At 45.9% G+C, this 20,767-nt stretch overlaps 1 protein-coding gene across 5 annotated transcripts; it reads right to left on the bottom strand.

Moving 5' to 3' along the window:
• TRIML1 (tripartite motif family like 1) lies at nt 1,141-14,679 on the bottom strand. 5 transcript variants are annotated; one of them, XM_024454028.1, is made up of 8 exons: nt 14,663-14,679; nt 13,628-13,738; nt 11,942-12,224; nt 11,285-11,380; nt 9,426-9,656; nt 8,048-8,070; nt 7,775-7,872; nt 4,165-5,086 (listed from the first exon to the last, which is right to left on the bottom strand). In XM_024454028.1, exons 3-8 carry the CDS (start codon nt 12,056-12,058, stop codon nt 4,536-4,538), a joined length of 1,116 nt encoding a protein of 371 aa, XP_024309796.1. In that variant the 5' UTR covers nt 12,059-12,224; nt 13,628-13,738; nt 14,663-14,679; the 3' UTR covers nt 4,165-4,535. The 5 variants fall into 5 exon arrangements, 4 of the variants coding, with proteins under 4 accessions (XP_024309796.1, XP_011530221.1, NP_848651.2 ...); XR_001741216.2 differs by lacking the exons at nt 13,628-13,738; nt 14,663-14,679 and adding an exon at nt 1,141-1,157 and having other exon boundaries at nt 4,446-5,086; nt 11,942-12,467; XM_011531919.2 differs by lacking the exon at nt 14,663-14,679 and having other exon boundaries at nt 13,628-13,934.

Below are 20,767 nucleotides of genomic sequence, written 5' to 3'. Positions count from 1 at the left end.
TCACCCCCACTCTCACTCCCCTTCTCAACCCCTCTCTCACTCCCCTTCTCACCCCCACTCTCACTCCCCTTCTCAACCCCTCTCACTCCCCTTCTCACCCCCACTCTCACTCCCCTTCTCAACCCCTCTCTCACTCCCCTTCTCACCCCCACTCTCACTCCCCTTCTCACCCCCACTCTCAATCCCCTTCTCACCCCCACTCTCACTCCCCTTCTCAACCCCTCTCTCACTCCCCTTCTCACCCCCACTCTCACTCCCCTTCTCACCCCCACTCTCACTCCCCTTCTCACCCCCTCTCTCACTCCCCTTCTCAACCCCTCTCTCACTCCCCTTCTCACCCCCACTCTCACTCCCCTTCTCACCCCCTCTCTCACTCCCCTTCTCAACCCCTCTCTCACTCCCCTTCTCACCCCCACTCTCACTCCCCTTCTCACCCTCTCTCTCACTCCCCTTCTCAACCCCCACTCTCACTTCCCTTCTCACCCCCTCTCTCACTCCCCCTCTCACCCCCACTCTCATTCCCCTTCTCACCCCCACTCTCACTCCCCTTCTCAGCCCCACTCTCACTCCCCTTCTCACCCCCACTCTCACTCCCCTTCTCACCCCCACTCTCACTCCCCTTCTCACCCCCACTCTCATTCCCCTTCTCACCCCCACTCTCATTCCTCTTCTCACCCCCACTCTCACTCCCCTTCTCAACCCCTCTCTCACTCCCCTTCTCACCCCCACTCTCACTCCCCTTCTCACCCCCACTCTCACTCCCCTTCTCAGCCCCACTCTCACTCCCCTTCTCACCCCCACTCTCACTCCCCTTCTCAGCCCCACTCTCATTCCCCTTCTCACCCCCACTCTCATTCCCCTTCTCACCCCCCCTCTCGCTCCCCTTCTCACCCCCACTCTCATTCCCCTTCTCACCCCCACTCTCACTCTCCTTCTCACCCCCAACTCTCACTGCCCTTCTCACCCATAACTCTCACTCCCATTCTCACCCCCAACTCTCACTCCCCTTCTCACCCCCACGTCTCATCACCTTGGAGTTTGTATCCAGAAACTGTGAGTGGCAATTTTCTTGCAAAGTTTTCTTGGTGGTTTATTCAAACTCCAAAGGTTGATCCTATAGATTCAATCTTCCCCACACACCTCATCAGTGGCAGGCCCTGTGTACACAATGGTGCAGCAAAGAGCCACTGGGGATGATTTTGCCAAAGGAAAAATTAGGCTAGACTCTTTGTCAGTATCTACCACTTTGGGACAAAGAAGGAAAGGAAAGGATGTATCACTGGATTATGCTACAATGAGATGTAATGCCCACAAAGTAAAATGTATTACTTTTGTATTTATTTAGTCCCTCCACAAAACTGGGATTTTTGGTAATTGAGAAAAGATGTATTCCAAATGGTTGCTGTTTGCTTTTTATCATTTTGTTTCTTAGCTTTTTGAGGTGAGAAATCAAGATATAAAATCTGTCTAATAAGTGGGGCCCAGGTGCGGTGGCTCACGCCTGTAATCCCAGCACTTTGGGAGGCTGAGGCGGGTGGATCACTTGAGGTCAGGAATTCAAGACCAGCCTGGCCAACATGGCAAAACCCCATCTCTATTAAAAATACAAAAATTCGCTGGGTGTGGTGGTGCATGCCTATGGGGATTAAGCTACTCAGGAGGCTGAGGCAGGAGAATTACTTGAACCCTGTGGGGAGGAGGCTGCAGTGAGCCGAGATCATGCCACTTCACTCCAGGCTGGGTAAAAGAGCAAAACTCTGTCTCAAAAAATAATAATAATAATTTTTAAAAATAAATAAAATAAGGCCGGGCGCGGTGGCTCACGTCTCTAATCTCAACACTTTGGGAGGCTGAGGTGGGCGGATCAGGAGGTCAGGAGATCAAGACCATCCTGGCCAACATGGTGAAACCCTGTCTCTATAAAAATAGAAAAATTAGCTGGGCATGGTGGTGCGCGAGCACCTGTAGTCCCAGCTACTCGGGAGGCTGAGGCAGGAGAATCGTTTGAACCCAGGGGTTAGAGGTTTCGGTGAGCCAAGATGGCGCCACTGCATTCCAGCCTGGCGAGAGAGCCAGACTCCATCTCAAATAAATAAATAAATACATAAATAAGAAGGAAACACAGTGGGCCACAGATAGTCTAAGGAGGACGTGCTGGGCTCCCCTCTGCAAGTCTCAAACTCTGATTGTGCGTGATGTCAAGGTGGGAATTAAATGCTGAATTCAGGGTGGGAATTAAATGGTGAATGCAAAGCACAGGAGACAGCATTTCCCAGACTCTTGAGCCTGTTTCTTCTTTGCTCCCCTGCCTTCGAGGACACAAGATTGAAACGTATAGAGTGGCAAGAGAAAGCAGATTCAGATGGGTGAGAAGGATAAGCGCACCCTACAGTAAACCCTCTTTATTTCACAGACCTCTTTTTAAGGCCTTGTGTGCTGATTAACAGGTTGAATTATTAATTTCTTTCCAACCGAGTCTCCAATTTACAGACAAAACTCTGATAAACATTTTTCCTAAACATCTTAGTAATAACACAGTCTGGAGTGGTGGTTAAATCGTATCCACTGTCTTGCCTGCCTTAGGACAATGGCTTATCTGAGAGATGAGAGGAGGTAAAGGGATACCCTCTGTGACCGGGGACATTCTGCAGTACTAGCAAGGGAACATTCCATTTAAAAACAAAGGCTGGGCCAGGCGCGGGGGCTCACGCCTGGAATCCCAGCACTTTGGGAGGTGGAGGCGGGTGGATCACGAGGTCAGGAGATCAAGACCATCCTGGCTAACACGGTGAAACCCCGTCTCTACTAAAAAAAAAAATACAAAAACTTAGCCGGGCGTGGTGGTGGGCGCCTTTAGTCCCAGCTACTCGGGAGGCTGAGGCAGGAGAATGGCGTGAACCCAGGAGGCAGAACTTGCAGTGAGCTGAGATCGCGCCACTGCACTCCAGCCTGGGTGACAGAGCAAGACTACTCCGTCTCAAAAAAAAAAAAAAAAAAAAAAAAAAAGCCTGGGCACGGTGGCTCACACCTGTAATCCTAGCACTTTGGGAGGCCAAGATGGGCAGATCACCTGAGGTCAGGGGTTCAAGACCAGCCTGGCCAAAATGGTGAAACCCTGTTTCTACAAAAACATAAAAACTAGCCGGGAATGATGGCAAGTGCCTGTAATCCCAGCTACTTGGGAAGTTGAGGCAGGAGAATTGCTTGAACCCCGGAGGTGGAGGTTGCAGTGAGCTGCGATCGCTCCATTGCACTCCAGCCTGGGTGACAGAGCGAGATTGCATCTTAAAACAAACAAACAAACACCTGCAGGGATAGATCACTAAAGACAGCGAGCCTAATGCAGACCACCAGCCAAAAGAGCTCCCCTCAGCCACCACCACTTCCTCACAAAACCTGACTTCTTTTTTTTTGAGATGGAGTTTCACTCTTGTTGCCCAGGGTGGAGTGCAATGGAATGATCTCCGCTCACTGCAACCTCCGCCGCCCGGGTTCAAGCAATTCTGCTGCCTCAGCCTCCCGAGTAGTTGAGATTGCAGGCATGTGCCATCATGCCCAGCTAATTTTTGTATTTTTAGTAGAGAAGGGGTTTCTCCATGTTGGTCAGGCTGGTCTCAAACTCCCAACCTCAGGTAATCCACCCACCTCGGCCTCCCAAAGTGCTGGGATTACAGGCATGAGCCACCGCATCCGGCCAACCCTGACGTTTTGAGATAAGAAGAGGGTAGGCTCTTTGGCCTTCTGGAGATTGAAAGCCTTCTGCTTACAGCAAACCACAAAAGCACCGAAAAGAACCTTATATACAATGCAATATAGTCGCTTGGCATCCCGTGTCATGATACATTTACTGAACAGACACTTTGCTCTGTCACCTTTTAACATATTAATGGAAGGTTCCAGCCTGTTGTGATTATGGAAGCATGAATGGTATGACGACATTCACACAAATATTTGCAGTGTTCTGAACATATAAGCCTTCCTGAGTACAAACACTGCAGGCTCATGGGATGGGAAGGAAAATGGCTTTTGGGAGAAGGATGAGATCTGAGCCCTCTCACACACCCTGAAAAGATGTGTCCATGCCTCAGTTTCCCCAGATGGATTTGCGTTGCCCCAGCATGCGGAGCTCTGCACGGAGGACAAAGACACATTCGAGCAGCACAGTTTTTAAGAGTCAAATAATTAAATACACTTGAAAAAGTGACATATATTTATAAAATCTGGCCTATGGCAGTAGGATTCATGGTAATAGGGGCTCAATATTTGAGTGACCAGCACACACATGGGGTAGCCCAGAGAATACATTTACTTAAAGACACAGAATATGATCAGCTCTCTTCTATTGGGGTTGAAGTTGATTGTGTAATGTGGCTGTTCATAATGGGATCAAGTTAATGGAAACTCTTGGGGGTGGGGTGGGGTTACGGGAGTTTATTTCAGATCACCTGACATTAATACTGTCGATGCCTTCATCGTCTTAATAGTTGTGTCTTGGTCTCAGACATCGCCCGCTGTGACGGCTCAGGGCACGCCCCTCAGACGTGGCTGTTCAGTGAGCAGATGGTGAGAGGGTCTGTGTTTGTCCCCTCATTTGGGAGGCAGGGGGAAAAGATAGGCCTGAGGGCCTCTTGGAAAGAAGCCTGCGGGAAGCTGTAGATGAGGGATTCATCCGTCCCGTTGTAGAATGCTATATGTCCAGATTCATAGTCCAGGAAGACACCAACCTTACACACAGGCTCTCTGACGTGCTGACCTTTCAAAGGTGACGAGACCCAGAGGCTGTAATCATCTCCGATTTTTAAACCTATTAGTGAGAACAGGTCCCCAGGTGGCTTGGGGAGATTCCCCTTTCTGCTCACAGAGTCCTTGCAGATGCCCACTTCCCACTCGGTCTTGTTTCCCACCTCCACCTCCCAGTAGTGTCTCCCACTGGTGAAGATCTGAGTACCCAGCACAGTCGCAGACTGGTCAAATCTTTCCGGGTTGTCGGGTAGCTGCTGTCTGCTTCCCCCATATTTCACACTCTTCAGATCCTCCGACAACACGAGATAGGCATTAGCTGTGGCTGGGTCCAGCGTTATCTCCGCTGCAAGAGGAGGAAAGAAGAGATTTCCCTTGGGCATGCTTGAAAAACCTCTTAGGTATGTGAGATTTCCATTGAATTCTTAGTATTTAGTCCTGGTTTTTTAAATGTAATTTGGGGCCGGGCGTGATGGCTCGCGCCTGTAATGCAGCACTTTGGGAGGGTGAGGCAGGCAGATCACAAGGTCAGGAGTTCAAGACCAGCCTGGGCAACATGGTGAAACCCCGTCTCTACTAAAAATACAAAACATAGCCAGGCATGGTGGCACGTGCTTGTAATCCGAACTACTCAGGAGGCTGAGGCACGAGAATTGCTTGAACCCAGGAGGTGGAGGTTGCAGTGAGCCAAGATTATACCACTGCACTCCAGCCTGGGCGACAGAGCAAGACTCAGTTTCAGAAAAAAACAGTATTTGGTTGAGAACAAAATTTCTGAGCTCTTCTTTGACTGTTCCACAACACATAGCATGAAGCTCTAAATGGAGACAGAGAGAAGAGCCACGTGGAGAAGGAGCTTTAGCCTGCCTGAGGTGGGGAGGAGAATCCCTGTGGGTGGAATGGGCGTCGCTCTGTTCACAGGACATCTTTAGAGCTCCGAGCTGTGCGTCCACATAGGGACACCCTTGGTTGTTCGCATCATATTAGCCATGGGAGGTTCTGGTTCTTCAGTTTGGGTGGGAGAGAAAATAGCACTTATCTTTGGCTGAACTTCTAATGTGCCAAACATTTTCTGTACATTATCTCATTTAATCACTGCAAGCATTCTTTTCTATAATTTTTACAAAAAAGAAAACAGGTTCAGGAAGGTTAGGAAACTTCACCAAGATTACACGGTTACTGAGTGTTCAAATCACAAATCACAATCCCTAATCAGCCTTTTTCATTATGTCATGACAAATGCAGCTTCCTGTGAGTTCAGTGCAGCACCCAGGGACCATGTGATGAAGCACACATAGTCTGTGAACCGACAGTCACATATGGGGCCTCCTTTTATTTTTTTATTTTTTTCCTGAGACAGTTTTGCTCTTGTTGCCCAGCCTGGACTGCAATGACGCGATCTTGACTCACTGCAACCTCGTCTCCCAGGTTCAAGTGATTCTCTTGCCTCAGCCTCCCGAGTAGTAGTCTTGTCCACCACCACGCCCGGCTAGTTTTTTGTATTTTTAGTAGAGATGGGGTTTCATCATGCTGGCCAGGCTGGTCTCAAACTCCCGACCTCGGGTGATCCACCCACCTCAGTCTCCCAAAGTGCTGGGATTACAGGCATGAGCCACCATGCCTGGCTGAGGATTCCAACTTCCACTCACTGTCCAGACAAGATCAGGTACCCCAGTCATTCCATTTCTGACTTTTTTTTTTTTTTTTTTTTTTTTTTTTTTTTTTTGAGACGGAGTCTCGCTCTGTCGCCCAGGCTGGAATGCAATGGCGCCATCTCTGCTCACTGCAACCTCCACCTCCTGGGTTCAAGTGATTCTCCTGCCTAGGCCTCCCGAGTAGCTGGGATTACAGGTGCCCACCATCACTCCCAGCTAATTTTTTTTTGTATTTTTAGCAGAGACGCAGTTTCACCATGTTGGCCAGGCTGGTCTCGAACTCCTGACCCCAAGTGATCTGCCCGCCTTGGCCTCCCAAAGTGCTGGGATTACAAGCGTGAGCCACCGCACCCGGCCCCAATCATACCATTTCATACTTTTATTTATAGACCAGATCCCACCATAACTAATTATCTGTGTGATTAATGCCTTCCTCCTCAATTTCATTGAAAATTCTACAAAAGGAAAGGCAAAATCTGCCTTACTTATCATTGTAAGTAAGCGCAGAGCCCAGTAGCATAGTGCCGGGGCCCATGGCAGGGCTTTATTCAGCACTCTGGAGTTCAAAGCTCATTAGGCCTCTTCCTCTGAAGGTCAGATTGTCCACAAGATAAAAGCTGAGAACTAATCCTGACGTCTCTCAGTGTTGGCTGGACTAAACATCTGGAGCATTCTACAAGGACAGTTCGTTGAATGCACCCTCACTGGGATTTTAGAATTTAAGTCAGCTTTCATCCTAACGGGATCAGAGCTAGAAATGTAGACGCCCCTGCATGAGGGGGGCGTGTCTGCACGTGCAAGGGGGGGATGGAAAAGACAATGACAAAACCAACAAAGAAAGGACTAGGATTGGCTGGGCGCAGTGGCTCACGCCTGTAATCCCAGCACTTTGGGAGGCCGAGGCGGGCGGATCACGAGGTCAGGAGATCGAGACCATCCTGGCTAACACAGTGAAACCCCGTCTGTACTAAAAATACAAAAAATTACCCAGGCGTGGTGGCGGGCGCCTGTAGTCCCAGCTACTCGGGAGGCTGAGGCAGGAGAATGGCGTGAACCCGGGAAGCGGAGCTTGCAGTGAGCCGAGATCGCGCCCCTGCGCTCCAGCCCGGGACACGGAGTGAGACTCCGTCTCAAAGAAAAAAAAAAAAAGACCCTTTAGACAGAAAACAAAGCCAGATAAAGCCTGAGTCAAGTCTCACTGCTTCTCTCTGCTCACGCTCAGAGACGGTCTGTGGCCCCAGCCCTCCCTGGTGTTCCGTGCTGGCCCGGATTCCTTAACCAGGAGCCTCGTGTCAGATCGTGAATGTCTGACACTGGAAGAAGGTATGCTGAAGTTAATTCTTCGAGCCCCGGAGGGGTAACAAATCAGGCTGACTTACTGCTGAATTTTCTTAGCATCTCCTTCATTCCCGTGATGCGGCACAGACTCAGCTCTGTGGTGGTGGCCTCTGGACACTGAAGCAAGAGTGGCTCGCTCCTGCAAGAGAGCAGAGAGGTTCACTCCTCGGCACAGACCGCGTGACCTGCTCCAGCTGGAGAGTCCACCTCATTTCTCCCCCAGCAACAGCGCAGACCTCCTATCCCCACTCAGAACTGTCCATCAGCACCACTGCCCCGCAGCTTGCATAACTGAACACAGAATGAAAGCCTACCTTTCCAGGGCTCCTCTCACTTCCTACGGGTAAAAAAGAAAGAAGTTAGCATGGTGCGCTTTGATCATAACACAGACGAAATTCATTTTGCATACAGTCCTTGCAAAGCTCACAGAATCTGCTTCCCATGAAGCACACCATGAGTGGGAGCACAGAGAGCAGAGAAAAGCGTCCCCAGTTTCTTCCAGGGATGTGCTGTGGTGAACACAAGGTGTTTCTCACAATGACTAGAGAATACTTTGTCCTTTTCTTTTTCTCGTATCATCACCTTGTCCAGGGAACCTGTTCTGCAAACAAGCCAACCTGTTAGTCTCGATCATCCAGTGAGAGGCAGAGATAACAAAGGAAAATGGGCTGGTGAGAACTGAGGCTAACCAAGCCTGTGTCAGGTCGGGGTGGTGTGTTTGGAAGGCACTAAATTAAATAGTAGCACTCTGTGGAACCAGTCTACAAAACAGACCTGAAGCTGGAGTTGGATCACATGGCTTATGTTTAAGAAAGTCCACGGCCGGGTGCCGGTGGCTCTCGCCTGTAATCCCAGCCTTTTGGGAGGCCAAGGTGGATGGATCACAAGGTCAAGAGATAGAGACCATCCTGGCCAACATTGTGAAACCCCGTCTCTACTAAAAATACAAAACTTAGCTGGGCATGGTGGCACACGCCTGTAATCCCAGCTACTTGGGAGGCTGAGGCAAGAGAATTGCTTGAACCCAGGAGGCGTAGATTGCAGTGAGCCAAGATTGCACCACTGCACTCCAGCCTGGGCGACAGTGCGAGACTCTGTCTCAAAAAAAAAAAAAAAGGTCCTGAAGAATGCAGCAGCCTAGAAGGGCAGTAGACCAAAGGTGGTGAGAAATAGGAGCTCCCTGCACAGAACAGGAGGGCTCTCCTGTCTATTAACTATCAGGCGGGCAGATCTCGTTAGTACCACAGGTATGAATAATTAAATCAGTGCCGCTATTAACCCATCCTGTAGATGACAGTCATCTAGACCTAGAGTTCATATCATAATGGTACTTATCTTCATCAGGTCTTTGTGAAGATTAAATTTAATGTGCCCAGCACATAGTAAATACACATTAATAAACTAGAAAAAAAAATTAACAAAGCTGAGGTTGCAGAGAGGCAGGTACAGAAGAAATTGAAGCCACTCTCAGGCTTGTTTGGGATAGTTATTCCTCTGGATGTGTTTTTTTTTTTCTCTCTCTCTCTCTTCTATAAGGCTTTATTGACATATAGAATGTCAATTCTTTAGGAAAACTACTTTTGGACCAGAACTTAGTTTTTAAGATGAATAAAGAAAACATTATTTCCTATGGCTTGAAGTACTATGAGTTACTATAATTTTTCCCATTACTCTCATGAATGTTATTCTCACCTCAAGAGATTCGAAAGCCGAGCTTTGACTTGAGGACTCAATCTGTGCGATCATTTTGCTTAGGCTTCTGATTTGCTGGGTCAGTTTGATCTCATTGTTCCTCAGCTTCCTCATGTTCTCTTTCTCTTCCTGTTCTAGTAGCTGGAGTTGCAGCTGCTCCTCTTCCTTCAGGAACTGGTGCATTTTCATGTATTCTGACACAACAACCTGTTTACAAGTCTTTGTTTCTTCCTGCCAAAACACACACACACACACACACACACACACACACACACGAGATAAAGTTAGTAAGAGAAATGCCCTTGTCTGTAGATTTTTAATCCTTACAAGTCCTAGAGTTTCTTTCTTTCTTTTTTTTTTTTTTTTTGAGATGGAGTCTCACTCTGTCGCCAGTCTGAAGTGCAGTGGCGCAATCTCGGCTCACTGCAACCTCTGCCTCCTGAGTTCAAATGATTCTCCTGCCTCAGCCTCCTGAGTAGCTGGGACTATAGTCTAGGAGTGTGCCACCACGCCCAGCTAATTTTTGTATTTTTAGTAAAGATGGGGTTTCACCATGTTGGTCAGGATTGTCTCAAGTCTCTTGACCGGGTGACCCACCCTCCTCAGCCTCCCAAAGTGCTGGGATTACAGGTGTGGGCCACCATGCCTGGCCAAGTCCTAGAGTTTCATGGCAACAATTCCTGAAATCCAACATATAATACATTTAATCTGTTGATGCGCTGGGTGTAGAGGTTGATGTTTTCGGAGGTATGTGCGCTATAGATACAATAGTAAACAAAACCAAAATCTCCATTCCCAGGAGGCGGTCGTTCTAGTGGAGAAAACCAAAAATGAGTAAGAAATATGACAAGTAGTGATCAGGACTATGATACAAATAAAACAAAATTAAGAAAAATTATGAAAAATGTGTGTTCATTTATTCAACAAATATTTATTCAATGAAAGTAGGTGTCAGATAACCAAAAAGGAACAGAAACATACATGGCAAATACTCTCACTTAAGAATTCAAAGTCTACGGCCAAGCACGGTGGCTCACACCTGTAATCCCAGCACTTTGGGAGACCGAGACAGGTGGATTACCTGAGGTCGGGAGTTCGAGATCAGCCTGGCTAACATGGTAAAACCCCATCTCCACAAATATACAAAATTAGCTGGGCATGGTGGCACACGTCTGTAATCCCAGCTACTCAGAAGGCTGAGGCAGGAGAATCACTTGAACCCGGGAGGTGGAGGTTGCAGTGAGCCGGGATCGCGCCACTGCACTCCAGCCTGGGCGACAGAGAGAGACTCCATCTCCAAAAAAAAAAAAAAAAAAACAGATTTCAAAGTCTATTGGGAGAATCAGATACATGGTTTTAAAAAATATATAATTTGATATTTAGTCCTTTGCTTTGACTGCTGGAGAGCTCAAATCCAAGTCCGTGACCAACCTTGAGGACTTGTCAGGTATCATTTAAACCACTATTTTGCTTTTATATCTCTGTCTCTTTATTTTTTTTAATTTGCATTTTCCCCTCCATGTTTTTGAGATATTTCTTTTTAAAATCGCTTTCCGTCTCATGTTACATGTCTATAAGTATCACTTGTGTTTTAAATAATTCTACCAGAGCCATCATAGAGGAAGCCACAGCGTTGTCTAGTTATGCAAAGGAGGCTCCTAGAGGGGGCGAATTGCAGCTGAGCCTTGAGACTCCCACGAGGACGCTCAGAAGAAGGCAGCCCAATGCAAGGAAACTGCATATTTTAGAGGTGAGACTGGAAAAATTTGTCTTTTTTTTTTCCTGATATTTCACTAAATTTCCCTTTAGTCCCCCTTATGGGGTCATATACAAGCAGCAAAAGTCAGACAGACACCGACCTGGCACAGTTTCACTCTCTCCTTCTCATGGGTTAGTACAGCCTGAGCTTCCTTTCTCCTTACACGCAAAAGATTCAGGATTTCCTGGAGTTTCTCCTGCAATAGAAACAAACCCTTTCTGGCAAATGAGCAGAGTCCCAGGTCATGAAGGGGCTTTGAAGACCAGTAACTGCGCAGTCCTAGGCCTCTAAAACAAAGGGCAGGCTGGGTGCGGCGCCTCACGCCTGTAATCCCAGCACTTTGGGAGGCCGAGGCAGGCGGATCACCTGAGGTCAGGAGTTCAAGACCAGCCTGGCCAACATGGTGAAACCCCGTCTCTATTAAAAATACAAAAAATTAGCCGGGCGTGGTGGTGGGTGACTGTAGTCCCAGCTACTGGGGAGGCTGAGGCAGGAGAATGGCGTGAACCTGGGAGGCGGAGGTTGCAGTGACTGAGATCGCACTGCTGCACTCCAGCCTGGGCAACAGAGCAAAACTCTGTCTCAAAAACAAAAAAAGGGAAAAAAAAGGGTGTAAACTGGACCCACGCCAGTTTGTGATGTGGTGCTCAGATGGGCCCTCGTGACTGTCCCCCACAGAGGACGTTAGGAAACGTCAGGAAAGCTAACGGAGTTAGCTGCGATGAGTCGTGGGGTTCATGCTGAGCAGCTGTCTTACTCTGTGATGCTCCTCAGCCTCGCTGGAGAGATGCACTCTGTTTGCACCATGGCTCTGGGCTACGAAGGCGCTTCCACCCTGCTCGTCATCGGAGAGCGCCTTGGCAGTGGTGGGCATCCTCCCGTAGCTGCCCTGCTCATCCTCGCTCTGCAGCACCTGGGACCGGAGCTGCCTGGCGATGCTGGCCAGCCTCCCCAGACGCTCGTTTGACTGGAAATGCGGGCCCTCCAAGGTCCTCCAGCACTCAGGACAAGATAAAGGTGTGTTATGTTCCTCCCAGCTCCTGAGGAGACACACCAGACAAAAGCTGTGCCCACACTCGGTGGTCACTGGGCTGCTGAAATAGTCTAAGCAGATGAAACAGGTGAGTTCCTCCCTGAGGTTCTCCATCAGATCTGCTGTAGACATTTTCTCGAGGCTGGATATGCAGCCAGGTTACACCTCTGTTCTGGGATTAGCAAAGCCCTCACTGCCGTCCTACAGTTTTGAGTAACACGCGGGTGACCTGTTCCTATGTTGTTATGACAAGAAACCCTTATCTCTTCTGTGCCTGATTTCACCAGCTGACATACACTGTCCAACACAAAGCCAATTATGACTTAATGTGGAACTCCTGTATACTGGGCTCCTCACCAACCCCAAACTTTGAGACTTATCTCTGTGAAAAGCACACATGCTAGAGGCTGAGGATTCTGGCTTCTAACAGGATTACCATTTTGAGAACTGGTTATTGTACATAAACAGCACTGTGGAACCATGTGAGCATGTGGGTTTTAGGCTGGAAGCTTGGGTGATTTGGTGTAAACCAGTAAAGAGATTTGAGTTTTGATGATCTCTAATAATATCTGAATTGGAAATTTGGTCCAAATCTTTTGGGAACTCCACTAATAAAACCTAGTTGAGAACTGAGAGAAGAAAACTGTAATACATAGTCCTTTTCTCATTAGCCCCTTTTGTTCTGCTTGACCAAAGCCTAAGCTTTTGTTCCTTTATTGGGTACTGTGTACTTTTATTTAATTTTATTCATCCCAACAAAATGAGAGCTCTTCCACTGAAGTATTCCTTGGTGTTAGGCGCACGATGAATTGCCAGAGCTGTTTATTGATCTTCCCTGCACACCCTAGTACTCACCCATCTGCCATCTTGGAAAGCATCTAAAATGACATTCTAATTGGAAGTTGCCTCAAGAGGCTATCCCACTATGGAGCAGATGGAAAGAATTATATTTTAGTATAAATGTAATTTTGCTCACTTATTTTCACCCATTGAAAATTTCCAAACTAGGCCCCTTCAAATCCCTGATTATCAGTTCTTACTGGACAGAAATGAAGTGTGCAGACATTTTTTCGGACATATGAAAAAGTAAATGCCTAGTGTGGAGACTGTGCACAGTGAACTCCGAGATTGGTAACAAATGCCACAAATTCACTGTGTCCCCTGCTCGGGAGTCAGCTCCTGTCCTGGCCTGCCTTCTGCTCACTGCATGCCAGGAAGTTGCACCTCAAAAGCTCTTCCTCAAAGGCCAGCGAGTTTGACCTTCCCACGAACTCATCACGCCATATTTCTGTCTCCGTCCCCTCACTCTCCAGCTTGGCAGCCTTCCACGAGTCGGGTCCATTACTCAGGCTGTTCCGTTCATTGGTTTCTGACTTTCAAGGCTCCAACTGCTACTTCTTTCCCACTTACCTCCAACAGGATGTTGGATGTTTTCTTATCTTGAACTTTGGGAAAAAGAAGTTTTCTGGCTGAGAATGTTTTTTCCTCCACCTTCCTTTCTCCTAGTCAAAACTCACCTTTCTGAAATCATTAATTCAAAATGTTTCAATCCTATACATCCCTTGTAAAGCATACGTGAATTGCTAGGATGAGAATTTAAGCTATGAAAAAATAAGAGCAAAGAGTTATACTACTGTAAAGAGGAAGAGAGGTGGCATCAGGGTGGCATCATGAAACCTCTACCAAGATAGCCTCCAGGATACTAACTTGTCACAGCTTCAGAATATTGCTATGAGTTAGTCTTGTAAGAGTCTTAAAAAAAAAAAGAAAAAAAGTTTGGCCAGGCGCGGTTGCTCACATCTGTAATCCCAGCAGTTTGGGAGGCCGAGGTGGGTGGATCACTTGAGGTCAGGAGTTTAAGACCAGCCTGGCCAACATGGTGAAACTCCGTCTCTACTAAAAATATGAAAATTAGGCCGGGTGCAGTGGTTCATGCCTGTAATCCCAGCACTTTGGGAGGCTGAGGCAGGCAGATCACTTGAGGTCGGGAGTTCGAGACCAGCCTGGCCAACATGGAGAAACTCCGTCTCTACTAAAAATACAAAATTAGCCGGGCATGGTGGCACATGCCTGTAATCCCAGCTAGTCAGGAGGCTGAGACAGAAGAATTGCTTGAACCCAGGAGGTGGAGGTTGCAGTGAGGTGAGATCACGCCATTGCACTCCAGCCTGGGCAACAAAAGCGAAACTCTGTCTCAAAAAAAAAAAAAAAAAAAGTAAAAATAGCTGGGTGTGGTGTTGCACGCCTGTAATCCCAGCTACTTGGGAGGCTGAGGCAGGAGAATCACTTGAACCCAAGAGGTGGAGGTTGCAGTGAGCCAAGATCCCACCACTGCACTCCAGCTTGGGAGACAGAGAAAGATCCCATCTCAAAAAAAAAAAAAAAAAAAAAAAAAGACTACAATAACACTAACTGCCACCACTAGAAAAAGAATTTATGAACTACCATCTCCATTCAGTGTGTTATTTCAACACAACCCCAGGAGGAGTCTTTAACATTTACCAAAATCATTAGAATAAGCCTCACAATACAGTTATAGCACATCACAGAGCCAGTATTCCAATTTGGAATAGGGAGGCTGGCATAGTCTCTGTTCAAGTCACACTGATCTGCTCTATCCCGTTTCCCTCTTCCAGATAATTTTTTTTATTTTATAGGCATCGTAACACAATAACCACGTGTTATTCATTGATGACTACAAGAATTCTTTGCACGTGGCTCGATTTTTCTGTTAATGAGTTATAAATGAATAGAGGAACTATATTATTATGGAATCATAGTCTTATATTTAGCTGGAAGTCAAGAGATCATATAGTCCAACTACCTTCTACAGATGCTGAGGAAAACTGAGGCTAGAATAAATTAAATTCATCTCCTGATACTCACTTACCACATACGCCGGATTAGGACTAGGAAACTGGAGCGCCTACCTCCCAGTCTTTCTCTTTTGTCAACACACTATACTGCATCCACTTGTTGACTTGTGAGTGGGTGAAAATTTCCAGTTATCTCAATAAAATGAACATTGCAGGCCAGGCGCGGTGGCTCACACCTGTAATCCCAGCATTTTGGGAGGCCAAGGCAGGTGGATCACGAGGTCCGGAGATCTAGACCATCCTGGCTAACACGGTGAAACCCCATCTCTACTAAAAAAATACAAAAAATTAGCCGGATGTGGTGGTGGGAACCTGTAGTCCCAGCTACTAGGGAGACTAAGACAGGAGAATGGCGTGAACCCGGGAGGCGGAGCTTGCAGAGAGCCGAGATCGCTCCACTGCACTCCAGCCTGGGAGACAGAGCAAGACTCCATCTCAAAAAAAAAAATGAACATTGTCCAATTGCTGTGAGAAGGAAGTCAGACAGCTGTCATTATGGAGTGATGGTGTGACAGGCATCTGAAATCACTGACCACATTCACTCTTGGGAAGGCAGACTTCCTTACCATCTTTCTCAACATTTTGCTTGGGCTTAATTCATAGATGAAATGCATTCATAGAATAGACCAGCCTTCCCAAAATATATGACCCAATCACACTACCAGACACGGCTTCTGAGATCAACAACTCAAGTAGCTTCTTCTCTGGCCTTTCTCTCCTGAGAGGGTGATGCTAGGAGTACTCCAAGAGGGTCACTGTCACAACTATCACCCAGATGCCATCAGGGTTGGCACATGCAGAAAAAAATGAACTTTATAGATACAGTAAGGGCTTATTTGTTGATGAGGCGGTGGACTAGTTGGGAGCTTATTTGAAAAATACATTGCTTGAAAGCCTAGCTTTAAAAATAAAGTTAGCCAGGCCCAGTGGCTTACCCCAGTAATCCCAGCACTTTGGGAGGCCAAGGCAGGTGGATCACCTGAGGTCAGGAGTTCAAGACCAGCCTGGCCAATATGGTGAAACCCTGTCTCTACAAAAATACAAAAATTAGCCGGGCGTGATGGCGGGTGCCTGTAATCCCAGCTACTCGGCGCTGAGGCACGAGAATCACTTGAACCCAGGAGACGAAGCCAGCAGTGAGACATGATCACCGGTGCACTCCAGCCTGGGCACAGAGCGAGATTAAAAAAATACAATTGACCCTTGAGCAATGCAGGGGTTACAGGTGCTGACCCCTTGCACAGTCAAAAATACACTTTAACTTTCCTAGAACATTAACTACTAATAGTCTACTGTTGACCAAGCCTTATCAATAACAGAAACAGTCAATTAATATATTTTTTTGTTACATGTATTATTTTATTCTTATCAAATAAGCTAGAGAAAAGAAAATGTTATTACGAGAAAATCTATTCACTAAGTGAAAGCGGATCCTCATAAAGGTCTTCACCCTTGTCGTTACCACTTTGAGTAGGCTGAGGAGGAGGAGGTGGGGGTGGGAGGGCTGGTCTCGCTGTCTCAGGGGTGGCAGAGGCCAGATAGGTAGAGGAAGTGGAAGGCTGAGCAGGAGAGGCAGGCATTCTTGGTGTCACTTTTATTGAGAAAAATCCGTGTATAAGTGTCCATGTTGAGGAGTTCAAACCCAGGTTGTTCAAGGGTCCTCTGTATATCTGTCATTTCATGCCAGTCTGGAAAAGATAGGTTACTCAACACACAGTTTAGGGAAAGTCAGGGAGTCATCTGGAAAAATAAATTCAGTTGATCTCTACCCAGCAACTTATACCGAAGTATATTCCAGGTAGATAAATACAGGATATATGTGTGTGTGCGTGGGCAGGGGGGAGTGTGTCTATTTTTTCCCAAGTATGAATTTCTACTCATATGTTTCCTTTTTTATTGCTTTTTTCACCTTATTTATATATTTCTAGGAAAGAGAATTTGCAACAGTTGTCAAATATATACTCTGAAATTATGGAGCAGTCTTACATGAATGTATACTTAAAATAATAGCTTTTATTACTATTATTTTTTTTTTGAGACGGAATCTTGCTCTGTCGCCCAGGCTGGAGTGCAGTGGCGTGATCTCAGCTCACTGCAACCTCCGGCTCCCAGGCTCAAGCGATTATCATGTCTCAGCCTCCCGAGTAACTGGGGATTACAGATGTGCACCACCATGCCTGGCTAATTTTTGTATTTTTAGCAGAGATGGAGTTTCACCACGTTGGCCAGGCTGGTCTCAAACTCCTGACCTCAAGTGATCCACCTGTCATGGCCTCGCAAAGCGCTGAAACTATAGGCGTGAGCCATCACACCAGGCCAAAATAATAGCCCTTCATCTTACTACATAGACATTTTTTAAAAAGCAGATCTGTTTACATACATTAACATGATATGACATCCATTATATGACATTAAGGGGAAATAAATTTTTGCCCTCAAAAATAGTTTGTCTAAATAATAAAAATTATATTCCACTATTTGTGTATTTTTCCTAAAAATAAGAGGTCATGCTATAGATGTTGACATATGTATTTGTGTAGATGAAAGCACAGAAGAAGTATGGAATTTCATGACTGTGACACTAAAAGCATGGTCAAAAAAAGCAACAACAGACAAAGGGAACTACATCAAGCCAAAAAGCTCCTGCACAGCAGAGGAAACGATCGACAGCGTGAAGATGCATATTCTGCGGAACGAAAGAAAATGCAGTGGCCCCTCAGCGTCTGCAGGAGACTCATTCCAGGACCTCCTGCAGATACCAAAATTCAGGGATACTCCAGTCCCGGAAAAAAAATGACATAATATTTGCATTAACCCTGCACATCCTCCTGTATACTTATAAATCATCTCTAGATTACATGTAATACCTAATACAATGTAAATGCTATGTAAATCGATGTTATACTGTGTTGTTTAGAGAATGACCCAAAAAAGCCTACATTTGCAGACTTTCACATTTATTATTTATTTTTAAGTATTAAAGTATTTTTAATGCTCTTGCTTTTTTCCCCCACACTCTGCATGTGGCATCCAAATAGTTAACATTCTAAATACAAAAAAACTTCAAAAATAGAAAACTTAGAGGTTTTGGCAGACTGTAGAACCTGACGAAGTGGGAGTCGGGCTGGAGGTGAGGGTGAGCAGAGAGCCAATCACAATAGGCTTCTGTGTTACGCCAAGTTTTGAAATTCTTTCTGTAATCGATGGGAATTGCTAGAGATTTTAGGCACAGGAGTGATAAAATTATAAAATATTATATAACATTTTCAGAAGATCAAAGAACCACACATGTGAAAGAAATACAAATAACATGAACACCCCAGCTTTTTCTTTATAAATGAGAAATTAGGAAAAAATAAAGGAAAATCTCTACCATCATGGAATTTATATTTTAGTAAGGAGAAGCATAAGATCAAAAACAGATATATATTAAGTAGTTATAAGTGCTAGAAAGAACAATTTTTAAACAAGGTAAGGAACATAATTTTTTTTTTTTGAGACAGGGTCTCAGTTTGTCACCCAGGCTGGAATGCAGTGGTGCAATCATAGCTCATTGTAGCTTCAGGCCCCCAGGGCTGCAGTGATCCTCCCACCTCAGCCTTTTGAGTTGCTGGGACAACAAGTGCACACCACCATGCCTGTATAGTTTTTATTTATTTTATTTTATTTGTAGAGATATGTTCTTTGTATGTTGCCCAGGCTGACCTCAGGCTCCTGGCCTGAAGCCATCCTCCCACCTCCGCCTCCCAAAGTGCTAGGATTACAGGTGTGACCCACCATGACTGGCCCCATAATGAGTCTTTTAAAAAATATTTTTGATCCACGGTTGATTGAATCAACAGATGCAGATCCCATAGATTTGGAGGGCTGACTCTGTTTGCAAATCACATGTCAGATAAGGGGTTAATTCCCAAGATATATAAGGAACTTCTATAACTGAATAGCAAAAAAACTAATAGCCAGATAACAATATGGACCAAAGAGTCAGATATTTCTCCAAAGAAGACATAGAAAGGCTAACAGGTATATGAAAAGATGCTCAATATCACTAATCATCAGGGAAATGCAAATCTACAATCACAAAGAGAGCACCTCTCACCTGTTACATGGCTATTATCAAAAAACAGAAAACAAACAAAAAACAGACAACAAAAGTTGGGGAGGATGTGAAGAAATTGGAACCCCGTTGGTGGAAATCCAAAATAGGGGCAATTGCTATGAGATGAGGGACCAGGCATGGTGACTCATGCCATAATCCCAGCACTTTGGAAGGTCAAGGTAGGAGGATTGCTTGAGAGCAGGAATTCAGCCTGGGCAACATAGCCAGACCCTTCTCTACAAAAAAACTTCTTTTTAAATTAGCCAGGCGTAGTGGTCCATGCTTGTGGTCCTTAGTCCAGCTGAGGTGGGAGGATCATTTGAGCCCAAGATGTCAAGGCTGCAGTGAGCTGTGATAGTGCCACTGCAATCCAGCCTGGGCAACAGAGTAAGACCCCGTCTCAAAACAATTTAAAAAATAGCGGAGATGAGGAAACAATTAAATGTCCATCGAGGAATGAATGGATAAAGAAAATGAGATCTACACATACCAATACATATATTGAATGCACTATATTGAATATACTCTCTTGAATATACTATACATATTCAAGTCAGTCTTGAAAAGGAAGGCCTGTCATATGCTACAGCATGGATGGACCTTGAGGACATTATACTAAATGAAATAAGTCAAGCACAGAGAACAAATACCACATGATTCCCCTTCTACAAGTTACCTGACATAGTCAAACTCAGAAGCAGAAAGTAGAAGGGTGGTTTCCAGGGACTGGGGGAGGGAAAAGTGAGAAGGTGCTAAACTGAGTTGGGGAGGCCAGGCACGGTGGCTCATACCCATAATCCTAGCACTTTGGGAGGCCAAGGTGGGCGGATCACTTGGGGGATCACTTGAGGTCAGGAGTTCGAAACCAGCCTGGCCAACGTGGAGAAACCCCGCCTCTACCAAAAATAATTTTTAAATTAGCCAGGCGTGGTGGTGAGCATCTGTAATCCCAGCTACTTGGGAGTCTGAGGCAGGAGAATCGCTTGAACCCAGGAGGCGGAATCGTGCCATTACACTCCAGCCTGGGCGACAAGAGTGAGACTCCATCTCAAAAAAAATAAAAAAATTAAAATTAAAAAATAAAACGAAGAGTGGGGGAACAGTTTGAAACCAAGGGTTTGAGACCAGCCTGGGCAACATAGAGAAACCCTGTCTCTAAATATAAATATATATATATATATATATATATATTTAGCTAGGAGTGGTGATGTGTGCCTATAGTCCCAGCTACTTGGGAGGCTGAGGTATGAGGATCTCTTGAGCTCAGGAATTCAAGGCTGCAGTGAGCTATGATTGTCACTTCATTCCACCCTGGGTGACAGAGCAAGACCCTGTCTCCAAATACACACACAGACACACACACACACATATACCTTCTAAATAATTTGTCAGCAGTTTTTTCAGTAAAGAAATATTGGAGAATAGAGTAGGAGCTAAGAAATGTGAGGTGTGACTTGGAGTAAGCCAATTAATGAAGCAATTTTCCTCAGCTTTAAGGATAAAATTGTCTCTGAAGATTGGTTTCAGCTGTGATATAATAAAATTTTTTAATAGTTTGCAACTTCAATGGCAGCT

The sequence above is a fragment of the Homo sapiens genome, chromosome 4 (assembly GCF_000001405.40).
Source record: "Homo sapiens chromosome 4, GRCh38.p14 Primary Assembly".
NCBI lineage: Eukaryota > Metazoa > Chordata > Mammalia > Primates > Hominidae > Homo > Homo sapiens.
This window is presented reverse-complemented; position numbering and strand designations above follow the sequence as displayed.